Source organism: Homo sapiens, chromosome 2 (genome assembly GCF_000001405.40).
Source record: "Homo sapiens chromosome 2, GRCh38.p14 Primary Assembly".
Classification (NCBI taxonomy): domain Eukaryota; kingdom Metazoa; phylum Chordata; class Mammalia; order Primates; family Hominidae; genus Homo; species Homo sapiens.
The window spans coordinates 10,286,996-10,303,310 of record NC_000002.12 but is presented as its reverse complement, the minus strand read 5'-3'; the positions used below and the strand labels follow the sequence as shown (position 1 = coordinate 10,303,310).

The 16,315-nt window shown below is 47.8% G+C and overlaps 1 protein-coding gene, 1 long non-coding RNA gene and 1 other non-coding gene across 15 annotated transcripts in view, besides 8 other annotated features; 2 read left to right on the top strand and 1 right to left on the bottom strand.

Annotated features, from left to right (window-relative positions):
• Positions 1 to 407, bottom strand: part of HPCAL1 (hippocalcin like 1) — a 124,701-nt gene extending 124,294 nt beyond the window's left edge. For all 11 annotated transcript variants that reach the window (XR_007073115.1, XM_047444095.1, XM_047444099.1 and 8 more), the window contains exon 1: positions 134 to 407. The gene's annotated coding sequence lies outside the window, so the exon portion shown is untranslated. The remainder of the gene's footprint in view (positions 1 to 133) is intronic.
• Positions 11 to 208: a silencer, noted in NCBI's record as "fragment chr2:10443229-10443426 (GRCh37/hg19 assembly coordinates)". NCBI's record gives its function as "represses an EF-1alpha promoter that drives an FKBP-Casp9 reporter gene in an ReSE screen in both phorbol 12-myristate 13-acetate-treated (for megakaryocytic differentiation) and untreated K562 erythroleukemia cells {active_cell/tissue: K562 | K562(+PMA)}" and the evidence as "EXISTENCE:reporter gene assay evidence [ECO:0000049][PMID:32094911]".
• Positions 11 to 872: a biological region, named in NCBI's record as "ReSE screen-validated silencer GRCh37_chr2:10443229-10443426".
• Positions 93 to 872: a silencer, noted in NCBI's record as "silent region_11160". NCBI's record gives its function as "represses an Ori minimal core promoter by ATAC-STARR-seq in GM12878 lymphoblastoid cells {active_cell/tissue: GM12878}" and the evidence as "EXISTENCE:reporter gene assay evidence [ECO:0000049][PMID:35858748]".
• On the top strand, positions 594 to 15,600 carry LOC101929691 (uncharacterized). Of its 3 annotated transcripts, none has more exons than XR_922791.3 (4): positions 594 to 1,733; positions 2,298 to 2,469; positions 14,152 to 14,204; positions 14,830 to 15,600. It is a non-coding gene; the product is annotated as an uncharacterized LOC101929691 (long non-coding RNA). The 3 variants fall into 3 exon arrangements; XR_007086210.1 differs by having other exon boundaries at positions 792 to 1,487; XR_001739282.2 differs by having other exon boundaries at positions 867 to 1,733; positions 14,096 to 14,204.
• Positions 4,887 to 5,499: a transcriptional cis regulatory region, noted in NCBI's record as "candidate enhancer chr2.403 targeted for multiplex CRISPR interference". NCBI's record gives its function as "positively regulates HPCAL1 gene expression with high confidence in K562 cells {active_cell/tissue: K562}" and the evidence as "EXISTENCE:mutant phenotype evidence [ECO:0000015][PMID:30612741]".
• Positions 5,094 to 5,388: an enhancer, noted in NCBI's record as "tiled region #12273; HepG2 Activating DNase unmatched - State 8:EnhW, and K562 Activating DNase matched - State 5:Enh". NCBI's record gives its function as "activates a minimal TATA promoter and a strong SV40 promoter by Sharpr-MPRA in HepG2 and K562 cells {active_cell/tissue: HepG2 | K562}" and the evidence as "EXISTENCE:reporter gene assay evidence [ECO:0000049][PMID:27701403]".
• LOC124900530 (small nucleolar RNA SNORA51) lies at positions 7,131 to 7,264 on the top strand. The gene has a single exon (XR_007088723.1). It is a non-coding gene; the product is annotated as a small nucleolar RNA SNORA51 (small nucleolar RNA).
• Positions 12,625 to 13,124: an enhancer, noted in NCBI's record as "H3K4me1 hESC enhancer chr2:10430313-10430812 (GRCh37/hg19 assembly coordinates)". NCBI's record gives its function as "activates a minimal SCP1, AML or CMV promoter by ChIP-STARR-seq in naive and primed H9 embryonic stem cells {active_cell/tissue: H9 hESC(naive and primed)}" and the evidence as "EXISTENCE:reporter gene assay evidence [ECO:0000049][PMID:30033119]".
• Positions 12,625 to 14,169: a biological region, named in NCBI's record as "P300/CBP strongly-dependent group 1 enhancer GRCh37_chr2:10429268-10430467".
• Positions 12,970 to 14,169: an enhancer, noted in NCBI's record as "P300/CBP strongly-dependent group 1 enhancer chr2:10429268-10430467 (GRCh37/hg19 assembly coordinates)". NCBI's record gives its function as "activates an origin of replication core promoter dependent on BRD2, BRD4, P300/CBP, MED14 and CDK7 cofactors, with strong dependence on P300/CBP, by STARR-seq in HCT116 cells {active_cell/tissue: HCT116}" and the evidence as "EXISTENCE:reporter gene assay evidence [ECO:0000049][PMID:35650434]".
• Positions 15,601 to 16,315: the final 715 nt, after the last annotated feature.

Genomic DNA, 16,315 nt, shown 5'->3' with positions numbered 1-16,315 from the left:
TCCCGGACACACACACGCGCGCACAACACACACGCAAAGAGCCGGATCGCAGCGCTCGCCGGTGCACACGCCGGGTGCACACGCCCGGGGCACACTTCAGCAGCCAGCAGACCGCAGCCCGCCCCTTCCCTACCTGCTCCGGCGCAGGACGCGGTCCGCCGGCTTCCCGAGCCCAAGTTCGGCGCCGGCGGCGGCTGCAGCGGGCCCGGGCCGCTGCCCGGGACAAGCGCGCCGAGGCCGGGAGGAGTGACTAGCAGCGCGGGCCTCCGTGCGCCCGCAGCTGCTGCGCCGGCCCTGCGCTCATCGCCGCCCAGAAAGACAAAAGGAAGCCGGCAGCCAGGGAGGGAGCAAGGTGGAGGCGCCCGTCAGTCCGCCCGTCCGCTGCCCGCCGCCGCCGCGGCCCGCCTGCCAGCTCCGGGAAGGAAGGGACGCGAAGGCGGGACCTGGAGGCGGGACCCGGAGGCGGGGGCCGGGGCGGGGCGCGCGGCCAGAGGCGGGCGCTCAAGTTTCCTACGGCCCCGCCCCCTCCGGGCCCCGCCCCCTCCACGCCCCCTGCCGGACCCTCAGCGCCCGGCTCGGCCCTCGCAGCCCCTGCACCTCGCTGCTCCTCGGCCCTCGCGGCCCAAACCTGGCCCTGCCGGGTCCCAGCCCCCAGTGGCTTTCGGGACAGGGGCGGAGCCGGGCACCGGTTCTGTTCCCCTAACCCTTGGCCTCTGGCCTGCTGGTATAGAAGAGGCCGAGAGGCGGCGCCCGGGAGGGGCCAGCCCTGCGCCCGCGCCCCCCGCCCCCACGCCGCAGGAAGTGGCCCGGGCGGCCTAGGAAGGGGAAGAGCCGAGTTGCCCCAGCCCCGCACCCCCAGCCCCAGCCCCGCGTGCAGCTCGCACCCCTTCCCACGCCTGTTCGGGGGAGAGCCCCGGGCCTGGAGTGGGAAGCCTGGCTCCAGCTCTGGTTACCTGCAGTGACTCCCCAGGCCGTTTAGGCGAGTCCATTGGGCCGCCTCTGCCTCGGTTTCCCCACCTAACCACGGAAGGTGCTCCTCCCTTCCAGGCATCTGTGGTCTTCGAGCTCCACGCGGGAGAGGCGCCGGTCTGGCACCTCCTGCCCAGGGTCGGCGCCTCCTGGCTCTCGGGGAGGGGGGCATCCTCCATCCCCTGCACCTGCCTCGAGAGGAACCAGGGACAGAGCACCCCCACCCCCACCAGGAGCTCCGGAAAAACGGCTTCAGAAGAGCAAATATACACACACACCCACCTCCCGCCCCAAACATCCCCGAAGAAAGGTAACCACAGAAACAGCCAGAAATGTGGAGCTGGGCGATCGTATGAGGCTGAGACAAAACTGTCTTTCTAGCGTCTCTAGGGGAGAGCTTGAATCCCTCCTTCCACTCCTCCTCCACGGAAAACAGAGTGAACTCCTGCTACAGAGGCCGCCAGAGCAACATGCAAGACCAGCTTTGAGGGGAGCGGGCACAGGGCCTTGCAGGGAAGGTGGGCCGAGCCCAGACCCCTCATTCTTACTTGGCTCTGAAGGCGGAAAGGCAAAGCTAGACCTCGAGGAAGTTCCCCTCCCTGTGGGCCCTACAGTGAAGATTACATGAAGGCATGTGGGCGGTGGACCAGAGTGCACCGACTGATGAAGGCGGCCCGGTACCCGCGGGTGCCATGCCTCCTTCTTAGCCAAGGCCACTCTAGCTCCCCGTGAAGTATCCAGGTAGAAGGCTGGTGGGGTTACAGGTGAGAAGCCGTCGGTGGGGTCCAGGAGCCAGGCCTGGGGAAGCACACGTCACTTCCACCCACATCCATGGGCCAGAAGTAGTCGCACAGTCCCACCAGGATGCAAGGGGCTCTGGCAGCTGTGGTCTTCATGAGTGTTTCGGAAGTAAACAAAGCCGGTTTGATGAACACGTAGAAACATCCCTGCCACAGAAACTGAGCAGATTTCTCCCAAGCACACACAGGGCAAAGGGGCAAAGTCTGTCCACAGACTCACAGGAAGGGAGGTGCATGGCAGACACAGGCAGGAGGTGGGGTTGGGGTGGAAAAGTTCAGGGAGGGCTCAAAAGCAGACCAAGGCCTGTTTCTGAAACCCAGCCCACTCACTGGTTCCTCCACACTTGGCCCATGCTGTTCCTCTCCCATGTGACTTTTCCATCTTCCCCCTCCAACCTGTCACCCATCCATCCTTCAAAACTTAGGTCAGTTAGCTCTCACCTAGCCCTCAGCAGCTTAGCCCGCAGATGCTTCCTCTGTTTCTGAACTTCTAGAGAAACACACTTAACCGCAGACCTCTTATTCCAGGAGTGTATCTCTCTCAGATGAGATACAAGTTGGTCCCTTCCCTTGCGTCCCTCCTGTTCCTTCAAGAGGAGGACTGTCTACCCACCCCGAAGCTTCATGGAGAGAGAGCACACCGTCGTTATTCAATATGTAGTTTTGAATTTAACTAGAGCAAAGAAGAAAGCAAATTCAGGTAAGATGTTGTATAATTTCCTGGGGCTAATGTAACAAGCACCTCCAACTGGGCAACTTAAACAACAGAAATGTGTTGTTTTGTAGCTCTGGAGGCTGGAAGTCCAAGATCAAAGTGTTGGCAGGGCTGGCCCCTTTGGAGAGATGTGGGGGGCAGTTTGTTTCATGTCTGTCTCTTAGCTTCTGGTAACCTCATGCATTCCTTGGCTTATGGATGGCCATGTGCGCTCCCTGTGAATTCACATCTTCTCTATATACCTGTCTCTTTTCCCTTTTCATAAGGACACAGTCATTATTGGATTAGGGCACACCCTAATGACCTCATCTTAACTTGATCATCTGTGCAGACCCAATTTCCAAATAAGGTCACATTCACAGGTACCAAGGGTTAGAAGTTCAGCATCTTTTGAGGGAAACAATTCAACCCATAACAGGTGTCATGCTAGATAAACAATTTGTTTTTCATATGATGACTGTAAACAAGACAGAAGTAATTCTGATTGTTCTTAATATCTGACTTAGTTTTATGACAATTTTTTTCTAACTTTTATTATAATATACACATAACATAAAATTTATCATCTTAATCCTTTTAAAGTGAACAGCTCAGTGGTATTAAATACATTAATGATGTGCAACCAGCACCACCATCCATCTCCAGAACTCTTTTCATCTTGTAAAACTGAAACTCTATACCCATTAAATAATGACTACCTCTCTAATACCTTACATAAGTGGAATCATACAGTATTTCCTTTTTGCAACTGGATTATTTCACTTAGCATAATGTCCTCAAGATTCATCTATGATGTAGTGTATGTCCAAATTTCCTTCCTTTTTAAGGCTGAGTAATATTTCCATGTGTGTGTATACCACATTGTGTTTACCCACTCGTTTGTCAAGAAATCATTGGGTTGCATCCACATTTTAGCAATTATGAATAATGCTGCGACGAACATGGGTGCACAAATATCTTTTCAAGATCTTATTTTCAGTTGTTTTGGGTATATACCCAGAAGTGGAATTGCTGGATTATGTGGTCATTCTATTTTTAATTTTTTGAAGAAGCATCATAATAATACTTTCCACAGTGTACCATTCTACATTCTGCCAAACAGTGCACAGGGTTCCAATTTCTTCACATCCTCACCGCCAGCACTTTGTTGTTGTTGTTGTTGTTGTTGTTGTTGTTGTTGTTGTTGTTGTTTTTGAGACGGAGTCTTGCTCTGTCACCCAGGCTGGAGTGCAGTGGTGTGATCTCGGCTCACTGCAAGCTCTGCCTCGTGGGTTCACGCCATTCTCCTGCCTCAGCCTCCCGAGTAGGTGGAACTACAGGCGTGCGCCACCAGGTCTGGCTAATTTTTGTATTTTTAGTAGAGACGGGGTTTCACCATGTTGGCCAGGCTGGCCTCCAACTCCTGACCTCAAGTGATCTTCCCACCGCAGCCTCCCAAAGTGCTGGGATTACAGGCGTGAGACACCGCACCAGCCCGATTTTGCTTTTTGATGCACCAAATTTTTATGAAATCCAATTTGTCTATTTTTCTGTGTTGTCTGTGTCTTTAATGTCATATCCAAGAAATCACTGCCAAATCCAACATTGTGGAGATTTTGCTCCAAGTTTTCTTCTAAAAATTCTATAGTTTTAGGTTACTTTTAGGTCTTTGATCTATTTTGAGTTAATTTTTGTATATGGTGTTAGGTAAGGGTCCAGCTTCATTCTTTTGCATGTAGATATCCAGTTTTCCCAGCACCATTTGTTGAAAAAGCTGTCCTTTTGCCATTAAGTGATCATGGCACCCTTGCCAAAAATCATTTGACCATATATTCAAGGGTTTGTTTCTGGGCTCTCTATTCTATTCTATTGATCTATATGTCAAGCTTTATTCCAGTGCCACACTGTTTTGATTACTGTAGCTTTGTGGTAAGTTTTGAAATCAGGAAGTGTGAGTCCTCCAGCCTTGTTCTTTTTCAAGATTGTTTTGGCTGTTCAGGGCCCCTTGAGATTCCATATGAATTTTAGGATGGGTTTTTCTATTTCTGCAAAAAATGTCATTGGGATTTGGACTTTATTGTTTCTGAAGTACCTTTACATACACTATCTCCGACATTCTAAAGATTGTTTCCATATTTTACAGATGAGGAAAGCTATACTTGGAAAAATGAAATGTCCAAGGCCACATATTAGAATCAGCAACAGCCAGGTTTAACAGCCAGATTCAGTGTCATTGTGCTGGGCCCACACAGGCTCTGGAAGAAATACTATTCTTTTTTTAATTCCTTGTAGCACTTTAATACTTGAGTGTATATCCACCAGGGAGAATCTTGCAAATAACATTGTTCCAGCGCACAAACTCCTGCCCCAGAATGTTTGAGGAAGTAGAGGCTAGCTTGTTTCTAGGTACTCTTTTGATTCTATTCCCCAGTTTCATTTGTAATTACAGAGTGGAGAAATGCAGCTGCTGGGAATAGCATGGGTGACGCTGACTTAGGGTAGAGGCAGCATCTCTGGCCACCCAACCTTCCCCTGACCCCAGGAGCTCACAGGCGGAGGAAATGCCCTGATAACTCCCCAGCAGCAGCTGCAGCAGGAAACCAAAGCCGTGCCTGGAAAGGGGAGAGTTGGAAATTTACCATGACCAGTCAGCCAGCAGAATCACTGGATCCTGCCTCAAATCTGTAGATGGACCAGAGCTGGGAAAATTGGATCATTAGGTCAGCTTGTTTATCCCTGAGGCACGCTGTTTTGTAACCACTCCTGATACAGATGCTGTGGCCCATGGCTCATCCAGGAAGTGTGACTCAGAGGCAGGTTCCGATGCCACCCCCCCACCCCCGCTCTTTCCCCTTCATCCTTGCAAGCTCAAGATAAACTAAAATATCCCCTCCCCTGCTGTGGACCACCACCACCCCAATTCCTTTGTTGAAGCCCTAACCTCTAATGTAATTGTATTTGGAGATAGGACTTTTAGGAGGTACTTAACGTTAAAGGAGTTGTAAGTCATAGGATTGGTGGTCTTAGAAAGGAAGAGAGAAAAATCTTTCTCCCTCTCCATGCACCAAGGAAAGGCCATGCGAGAACACAGCACAAAGGTGACTGTCTACAAGCCAGAAAGTGGGCCCTTACCAGAAAAGGAATCAGCCAGCAGTGCCTTGATCTTGAACTTCCAGCCTTCGGAACTCTGAGAAATAACTTTCTGTTGTTGAAGCCACCCAGTCTGTGGTATTTCGTCATGGCAGTCTAAGCATAAGACAGGAAGCATGTCCTGGTACATTTTCTTCTATTTCCCATTCCGTATGCCCTCTGCCTCTCTCTAATCTCAAGGCCGGGGTCCTGGGACACTGCCCGGCAGGACTAGGGACGTTAAGGACCTGGTTTTGTTTCTTGAGCAGTGCCTTACCCTCTTGCCCTGCTTCCCTGACCCCTCTACCCGACCGTGGCTGCTGGGGAACAGGGCGGGGTATGGGCCGGAGCGGGACTTGCCAGGGGAGGGCTCCAGAACTGCACTGTCCACTCACCGAGCGGCCTTTGGAGGTACCCAGGAAAATGAACAGGACTCCAAGTCAGATAACCCTGGACTCCCAGGCTCTTCTATAAAGTAGACAGCTTGACCTACGAACTACCTCTTGGGGGGGTCGAGAGCCTTAAATGAGCTAACATTGGATGCTCTCAAAAAAAAAAAAAAAAAAAAAAAAGAAAACTCAATGCCTGTAACCCCACCACTTTGGGAGGCCGAGGCAGGTGGATCACTTGAGCCCAGGAGTTTGAGACCAGCCTGGGCAACATGGTGAAACCCCATCTCTACTAAAATTACAGAAATTAGCCAAGCCTGGTGGCGCATGCCTGTAGTCCCAGCTACTTGGGAGGCTGGGGTGGGAGAATGGCTTGAATCCGGGAGGTGGAGGTTGCAGTGAGTCCAGATCATGCCACTGTACTCCAGCCTGGGTGACAGAGCCAGACCTTGTCTCAAAAAAACCCAAAAAACAGCTGCTTTCCTCCTCCCCCACTCGCTGTTCCCTCCTCCTCATTAGCAAACTTAAAGCATTCCCTTTAGCAACCCTGATTAGGCCCCAATCCAGGGTCCCAATTTTCTAATTTGTAAAATGTGCATATGAATCATGTCTCGCTTGGATTAAAAGAGGCAATGTGTGCAAAGGGCCTCTGGTGAGGTAGCTCCTCAAGAAGTGATGGGCATGTTACTTCGTTGTCATGTCCTCACCCTCATCATCATCCTCCCACTGACTGACCACTCTGCCCACACAAATAAAGAAAGCCATCGCAGCCATCAGTCGGAGCCCACCGGTGCTGGCCCAGCTCAGCATACGCTATCGGCATCACCTGAGCAGACACCCAACCTCTCTGAGTTCCTTTCCCCCTGAGGGCTCTCTCTCAGATGACCCAAGGGAGGGAGGCCAAGGCACCAAGGAATGGGAAATGGCTTTGTAAAATGTGAAATGTGCTCCTGGACTACACATCTTCAAGTAGTGTCAGAGGCATTTGAACCAGAGTGACTCCATCTTGAGGAGGAGCTGGGTAAAATAAGGCTGAGACCTGCTGGACTGCATTCTCTGGCGGTTAGGCATTCTAAGTCACAGGATGAGATAGGAGGTCGACACAAGGTACAGGTCACAAAGACCTTGCTGATAAAACACGTTGCGGTAGGCCTCCTGGTACTTACCCACAGGCTGCGTTCTTACACTGGCTGTACAGAAAGAGGAGCTAGAGTAAACCTACCTAATATACACCTCAGCCCAGGCCCTGTGCCTGGTCTGTATTGTGAATGGGGGGGACATAGAAAAGAAAAAATAAATGAAAAACAAAAAATAAAACAGGTTGCAGTGAAGAACCTGGGCAAAACCCACCAAAACCAAGATGGCGACAAGAGTGACCTCTGGTCATCCTCACTGCTCATTATATGCTAATTGTAATGTGTTAGCCGGCTAAAATACACTCCCACTAGTGCCACGACAGTTTACAAATGCCATGGCAACATCAGGAAGTTACCATATATGGTCTATAAGGGAGAAGAGCTCTGAGTTCTGGGAGTTGCCCATGTCTTTCCTGGGAAGTTCATGAATAATCCACCCCTTGTTTAGCATATAATCAAGAAATAACTATAAGTATAATCAGTTGAGCAGCCCATGCCCCTGCGCTCTGCCTATGGAGTAGCCATTCTTTATTCCTTTACTTTCCTGATAAACTTGCTTTCACTTTACTCTGTGGACTGGCTCCCAATTCCTTCTTGTGCGAGGTCCAAGAACCCGCTCTTAGGGTCTGGATTGGGACCCCTTTGTGGTGACAGTAGTGGCTCCACAGAGTTGGGTTGGACTTCTGTGCCCTTGCTGGTTTACACAGTGGGGTGGAGGCAAGCCTGAGGCCATGACACATGGTTGTCCAGTACAGGTTGGGACGCCACATCAGCGGCAGCTCAGGCCCCAACATGGAAGTCAGAAGCCCCAGCCGGGGGCTCCGCACAACACACAGACATCTTTTCCATGTCAGTGGAGAGAGGGGAGTAGCCCAGAGTCTGGCTGGCTGCAGAACGCTCATGCTAAAACACAAAACCCAAAGCCAAACACAAGCAGCAGCTCTGACCTCTGCTTCAAACCAGTTTGAACCGGAAAAGGCTGCCTGCCTTTCCAGCTCTGCTTCTGATGATGGTTCCTGTTCTGGGAGCTAGAGCTCCTGGTGCATATGCCAAGGACGTGCCCTGCAAGGAACAGTAGGTGAATTTCTCCCTGAAACATATAGCTCCATGACTAATGGGGGATGGACATAATGTTAATCATATATGTATATATACATATTATTACTTCAACATGTAATCAATCTAAAAATTATGAATGAGATATTTTGTATTTTTTTATACTACTGTCTTTGAAATTCAGTGTGTGTTCTACACTTACAGCATTTCTTAATTTGGATTAGCTGCAATTCAAGTGCTTGATAGTCATATGTGGCTAGTGGCTAACACATTGGACAGCACACATAGAGACCTGTGAATGCAAAACTTTAGGGTACATCAGAATCCCCTGCGGGGCTTGTTAAAATGCTGATTGCTAGGCCCCACCCCCAGAGTTTCAGATTCAGCAAGTCTGGAGTGTTGCCTGGGAATTTGCATTTCTGACAAGTTTCTATGTAATGCTGCTGGTCCAGGCACCACACTTTGAGAACTACTGGCCTAGATAGTCCTCTGAGGCAAGCAAGAAACATGCTTTCTAGTTTACCTCTGGGGAAACTATATCATTATTACGAAGCTACAGTAATCAAGACGGTGTGGTACTGGCATAAGGACAGAGATCTAGATGAATGGAATAAAATTGAAAATGTAGAGATAAACTCTCTCAATTATTGTCAGTTGATTTTTGGCAAAGATGCCAAGACAATTCAATGGGAAAAAAGAATAGTCTTTCCAGCAAATGGTGCTGGACAACAGGATGGCAAAATTCATTTTATTTTATTTTTGAAACAGAATTTCACTCTTGTTGCCCAGGCTGGTGTGCAATAGTGCAACCTTGGCTCACTGCAGCTTCCGCCTCCTGGATTCAAGTGATTCTCCAAGGGATGGCCAAATTCAAAAAAATAAAGTTGGATCCCTACCTCACACCATATACAAAAATTAACTCAAAATGGATCAGACCTAAATGTAAGAGCTAAAAGTATAAAACTCTTAGAAGAAAACATAAGCATAAATATTCATGACCTTGTATTAGTTAGTAGTTTATTAGATATGACACCAAAAAGCACAGGCAACCAAAGAAAAGGTTGATAAGTTGGACTTTATCAAAATGAAAAACTTTTTTGCTTCAAAGGACACCATTGGGAAAGTGAAAAGAAAGCCCACAGAATGGGAGAAAATATTTGCAAGTCATGTATCTGACAAGGGACTTGCATCTAGAATATATACAGAACTCTTACAAGTCAACAATGAAACAATAAGTAAAATTGGGTCAGATGACCCAATTTTAAAAATAAGAAAGGATATAAGTAGACCTTTCTCCAAGGAAGATAGACATTGGCCAATAAGCACATGAAAATAAGTTCAACATCATTAGTCACCAAGGAAATGCAAATCAGAACCTCAGTGAGATACCACCTCACACTGCTAGAGTGGCTGGAATCCAAAAGGTGGACAATAACAGGAGAGGTGAGGATGTGGGGGAACTGGAACCCACACACATTGGTGGTAGAAATACAAAATGGTGTATTGGCTGTGAAAAACAGTGTGGCAGTTCTCAAAAAGTTAAACATAGAGGCTACCATATGACCCTGCAATTCTGTGCCTGGGTATGTACCCCAGAAAAGTGAAAAGCTATGTCCACACAAAAACTTGCATGTGAATCCTGATAGCAAGACTACTCATGATACCAACAAAGTGGAAACAACCCCAAGACCCATCATTGAAGAATGGATAAACAAAATGTGGTGTATCTGTATCATGGAACGTTATCCAGCCATAAACAGAAATGAAATATGGTTACATACTGCAACATGTTGAACCCCAAAAACATTATGCGACCTGAAAGAAGCCAGACACAAAAGGCCACATACTGTATGATCTTATCTATATGAAATGCCCAGAATAGGCAAGTCCACACAGACCAACAATTAATGTGTGGCCTCCAGAGGCTGACAGCAGAAGAGCGTGACCACTAGTAGGGACAGGGTTTCTTTCTGGAATTAGAGTGGTGGTGATGGTTGCACAGCTTTGTGAATATACTGAAAACCTGAGTTGCATACATTAAAAATAAATACGCCTTTTTAAAAAGCAGAAAGGAGGACATTTACCTCAAATCATATAGATAATAAATGTCAGGTGGGAGCCAGCCCCTGGACTACAGATGCCTAAGGAAGGTTTTTTCCTCCATACCTTACCTGGCCTGTGGGGTGCCACTTTTTTTTTTTTTCTTTTGAGACAGAGTCTGGTTATGTTGCCCAAGCTGGAATGCAGTGGCTCCATTATAGCTCACTGCAACTTCAAATGCTCAGGATCAAGCAATCCTCCCACCTCAGCTTCTGAGTAGCTGGGACTACAGGGATGTGCCACCACAACTGGCTAACTTTTAAATTTTTAGTAGAGACAGGGTCTCACTATGTTGCCCAGGGAGATCTCAAACTTCTGGCCTCAAGCAATATTCCCGCCTCAGCCTCCTAAAGCCTCTATCCCAGCCAGGGACTACACTTTCTTAAGTACTGCTGGAACATGACATTAGAGGAAACCTGAAGGGCAAAACCCTTTTATAAGGTGAAAGAGAAATTTCACAGAAGAAAAAAATCCAAATGGCCAATAAATGTAAGAAAGATGCTCAACTTTATCCAGGACGAGGAAAGGCAAAATAGTCACAGTGAGATCGCATTTCCCACCCAGCCATGCCAGGGATGGAGGAGGAATTGGGGGGGGGGGGGTGGGTTCCACACACACTGGGGAGGAGTGTAAATTGGGAAAAGCACTTTGGAGAGCAATCTGGCAAAATCCAGGAAGGTTGAAGAGGCACGTCCTCAGCCGAGCAATTGCTCCCTCTGGTTACCTACCCTCAGGAAACTTCCCTGCAGAGTCCAGAAGCCATGTGCAAGGATGCCATTGCAACATTGTACAACAGAACTGAAAGCAGCCCCAATGTCCAGCAATAGAGGGAGGAGTACATACAGCATGTGATACTCTCACTACAGACTACTGAAACGCAGTTAAAACCAACTAGCTAGACATGTGAATCAATATGGATTAATCTCTGAAGTGATGTTGAATTTTGAAAAGCAAGGAATAGAACCATATAGTAATTACTGTATACGTGCATTTAAAACATGCAACACAACATAATGTATATTTAGGCCGGGCATGGTGGCTCACCTCTGTAATCCCGGCACTTTGGGAGGCCAAGGCAAGCCGGTCACCTGAGGTCGGGAGTTGGAGACCAGCTGGGCCAACGTGGTGAAACCCCATCTCTACTAAAAATACAAAAATTAGCCAGGTGTGGTGGTGGACACCTGTAGTCCCAGCTATTTGGGAAGCTGAGGCATGAGAATTGCTGGAACCCGGAGGCAGAGGTTGCAGTGAGCCAAGATGGTGCCACTGTACTCCAGTCTGAGTAACCAAGGGAGACTCCATCTCAAAAAAATATATATATATGTGTGTGTGTGTGTGTATATATGTGTGTGTATATATATATATGTGTGTGTGTATATATGTGTATATGTACATATATACATATACGTATATACATATACATATACGTATATATACGTATATATGTATACGTATACATATACGTATATATACATATATACGTATACGTATACATATGTATGTATATATACGTATATACGTATACGTATACATATATGTATATATACGTATATACGTATACGTATACATATATGTATATATACGTATATACGTATACGTATACATATATGTATATATACGTATATACGTATACGTATACATATATGTATATATACGTATATACGTATACGTATACACGTATATATGTATATATGTATATGTGTGTGTATACATATATGTGTATATATGTGTGTGTATATATATGTGTATATATACACATATATATATAGAATGAGAGAGAGAGTATATTTGAATAGATTAGAATGTGGTAAAAGTATCAGACAGAATGTAGATTCAGGGTAGTGATTGCTTCTGGGACAGGGCAGGTGAGAGAGACTGGGGTGATAGAAAGGAGACTTCACCTGCACCTGACATTGCATTGTTTCCAAATACACTGTTTTTGGAAACAATAATAAATTTTAATAATAAAACAGTGTTTTTGGAAACAATAATATATGCGTGTCTGATATATTATTCTCTGTACTCCTCTATATTTAAAAATATTTTTCATTTAAAAAGTAGCATTTGAAAAGCATCCCTTATCCCTTATGTCATCTCTTGTTAACTCTGGATTCTGCTCTATGGTAACATCCAGCCTGTCTAACAGTCAAGGTTCCAGGAACATTGGCTTTTGGGAAGACAGTCCTGGAACCAAGTAGAGGGGAAGCTGTAGGTGTGGACGGAGGGGATGGTTGATAGAGAACTGGTGGGCTGAGTTCCGGAGAAGCCTCAGGCGGCATGCCGAAACGAAGGCGGGAATGGGAGGCAGTGGGGTGTTCCTGGGGCAGAAGAATGCCAGTGGCTCAGAAGGATATGACATGCCAGGTCTTTCGAGTAGGGTCAGAGAAGTCACTGTGAAGCTTACAGTGAAGAAGGATCAGGCCAGGAGCACGCATCGCCAAAGTCACGTATGTCGAAAGACGTCAGAAATGGCCACTAGAGACACTCATCCTCAACAAGGGGCGGCTCAGGAGACAGAAGACAGAAGGGATCTGAAACCCCCGCCTCCCAGGCGTGGCGGTGATACCGGGAGGGGATCCAGGAAGAGCACACGGAGAACTCGGAGGAAGATGAGCAGGGGCTTGGGAGGCGCAGAGCTCTCCTGACACTCCTGGCCCTGACCCCAAGGCCAGGCCTCTGCTGCCCTCACAGCTTCGGGACCCACCAAGCGCCAGGCATGTGCCCATCAGACAAATCACACAGAGAGCAGGGGCTATGGACAGGCAGAGCCCTGGAGGCCTATGGTAGATTCATGGGTACCAGGGCCTGGGGTGCAGGAGAGTGTGGAGTGGCTGCTGGGGGGTGCAGGGCAGATGCGAGAAGTACCCTCACATCTAAGTAGCCCCGGGGGAAACCAGCAGCACACGTGGTATCCTGGCCATGGCGATGTAGCTCCTGACTCCCATCAGTGCCAAGACATCCACTGCCTCAGTGGTTGCGGGTGTTGCCTGCTGATGGCTCATGGCTGAGTCACTCCCTGGGTACTGCCGTAGGCTAAGGTTCGCGTGTCCCCAGGGATAGCCCACTTCCGATGACTGGTCAGTGTGGGCACACCAAAGCTCAGGCCCCTGCCCAGGCCATCTCTGAAGCCGTAGCGCACCCTCTGTGGGGGCTGCCCCATCCTGTGGCCCCGCACTTACTACACAGGTGTGTCCCTGAAGGCCCTCTCTATTAAACCTCCTGCTGGCAAATCTCATCTCCAAATCTGTTTCCCAGGAAACCGATCTAAAGCACAGGGTGTCTAACGATGGTCTGGAGTTATCAAGAAAATATTACAGTGTTTAGGGGCCTCTATTTGAAGCTGTAATATATCTATATTCAGTTTTGCATTCGAATCAGCTGCAAATAATAGAGGCCTGGAAAATATTGGCTTCAGCGAGATGAACGTTTAGTTCTTGCTCTTGGAAAAGTAGCCCAGGGCAAAATGAATCTATAGGACAGAAAGCAGATAGGTGGTTACTGCGGCAGGTGTGGTGGGGGAGGAGCACTGAAGATGGACTGCCAGGGGTACAAGGAAGCTTCTGTGATTTGTGGGAATGCTCTGTATCTTAACTGAGATGGCATTTGCGTGGGTGTCAACATTTGTCAAAACTCGTTGAATTAAACTCTTAAAATGGGTGCATTTTATTTTCTCTGAATTGTAACTCAGTAAAGTTGATTGATTTTCTGTTTTTAAGTAGCTGAGAGGCAGACAGTCTGGGAATAAAATGGCAGTGCCAGCTAATGGGGACCCAGTCTTCTTATCTCCTGTTTCTCTGCCCTGCATGGTCTTTATTCCCGAAGTCACATCATGGCCCAGAATGGCTGCAAAACCTCTAGCATTTACTTCCTTATTCCAGGTGGAAGGAAGAAGAAAAGGGAAAAGGGCTGTCCCCATCCTTCTAAGGAGATGGTAAGTGCAACACAACACTTCTGCTCACAACTCTTCAGCCAGAACTTCATCACACAGCCTATTAAGAAGGCCAGAAAATGTGTAATCCTTTAACTGGGATCTTTGCAGTTCCAAAAACTTGGGGATCCTATTATTAAGGAATAGGAGGAAAATGGGGCCATTCTCACCATATCTTAGAAAATTTCCGTGAAAAAGTAGTTGAAATAAAATAGAGCACGTGTGAGGAGAAGCACTAGGAACTGACCGTGTGGGTGTGTGAAGACTTTCCCAGTGAGGTGCAGGGTCATCGTGTTGGCACACACTTGTGTCAACGCTGCCAAGACAGATCTAGGATCTGCAAAGATCCAACTTCCAGTGCAAAAGTTATCTCATTTTCCTAGTAGATTTGTCATTCCTAGGGCTGGAGGAGGAAGGGCAGGTGGGGTTTGGAGAGAAATGGAGAATAACTCTAAAATGTATGTGGCTTCTTTTACGGTTGATGAAAATATCCTAAAGTTTATTGTGGCGATGGGTGCACAACTCTGTGAATCTATGGAAGACCATTGAAATGTGCATTCTAAATGGGTGAATTGTATGGTATGTACATCGTATCTCAATAAAACTGTTAAATTTTTTTTCCGGCCAGGTGCAGTGGCTCACCTTTGGGAGGCCGAGGCAGGCAGATCACTTGAGCTCAGCAGTTTGAGACCAGCCTGGGTAACATAGTGAAACCCCATCTCTACAGAAATTAAAAAATTAGCCAGACATGGCGGCGCACACCTGTGGTCCCAGCTACTCAGGAGGCTGCGGCAGAAGTATGCCTTGAGCCAAAGAGGCAGAGATTGCAGTGAGCCAAGATCATGCTACTGCACTCCAGCCTGGGCAACGAAGCAAGACTGTCTCAGGAAAAAAAAAAAAAATGATCATTTTTCTCTGTCCACTTGGTGGGTCAACTGAATGGTATTCCTGTGTCTTCTACTCTCCTCCCACTTGGAAACCCACTGAGATGCTCTTCCGAAGGCCAGTGCATGCTGGGCCACACGAGACAGAGCTCAGGCTGGAGGAGCCTCATACCCGCCCCTCTAGATGCTTATAAAAATACTTCCCACCTTTGAATCAAGTGGAAAATGAGGCTCTCCAGTCAAAAGCCGCGACTGTATAGAAAGCCCTGAGTTGCCCAATCTGTTCACATGGCATCACCAACCTCTGTGTCATCATCAAGCTGTCCAGGGGACTCGATGGCCACCTGGCCAGGAACTGCGGGCTGATTGGAAGCTGTTGTTCCCATTGTATAATCACACACATCATAAAATAATCAGTCTTGTCTCTATTTACAATTTTGATGTTTTGTTCATCACAAATTTTTATATTAATTTTTAGTTTAACAAACATTGCACTAAAATAATGTTTCTCTTGATGACCGAGTTTGGGTGCCCTTTCTATTCTGTGTACAAGATGAGAGCCTCACTGGCCTCCCCCAATCCTGGCACTGCCGGAGGCTTTCCTGCGCCCCCTGTGTACTTGTAAGTGCTTATGGAATAGTCTAATGCCACCTTTTTGTTATAAGCTGAATATTTGCCTGTCTTCAAAAGTGTGAGTTCATCAAAATGTGGGCTTCCTGCAGGCAGGGGCTTGTGTCCTTTATTCATCTCTGTGTGCAAAGCCTGGACAGGCTGCAGCAGAAAGCATGCTCAAGAAATACTGGCTGAACCAATGAACTGGCCCCACCCCCAAATTTATCAGCTTTTTCTCCCTTCTATATTAAAAGAACAGAGCCCCAGGATCTAGGGTCCCTGCCTGCCCTCTTCCCCTTCTAGAGAGTAAAACAGAGGAGTAACCTAAGTTACGTTTTCTTTCCAAGGCAAAGCTTTTCGGGGCCTGGGTGTATCATCGGGGCTGAGCTGGGTGATCTGGGCAGCACGGTGTCCTCACGTGGGGAGAAAATGGTCCCATCTGTGCCCACTTTCGTGGAGCTCAGACAGGCTGCCAGCAGAGTCCCCAGCTTGGACTGCTACTTTCAACCTCTTGGATGCCATGACCTAGAGGGTCACAGGAGGCTCCAGGGGACTGGGGCCTGAAATTCCCATCCGTGGCAGGTACCGGCGGAGGGAGGCGAGATGGATCCCGGGCCA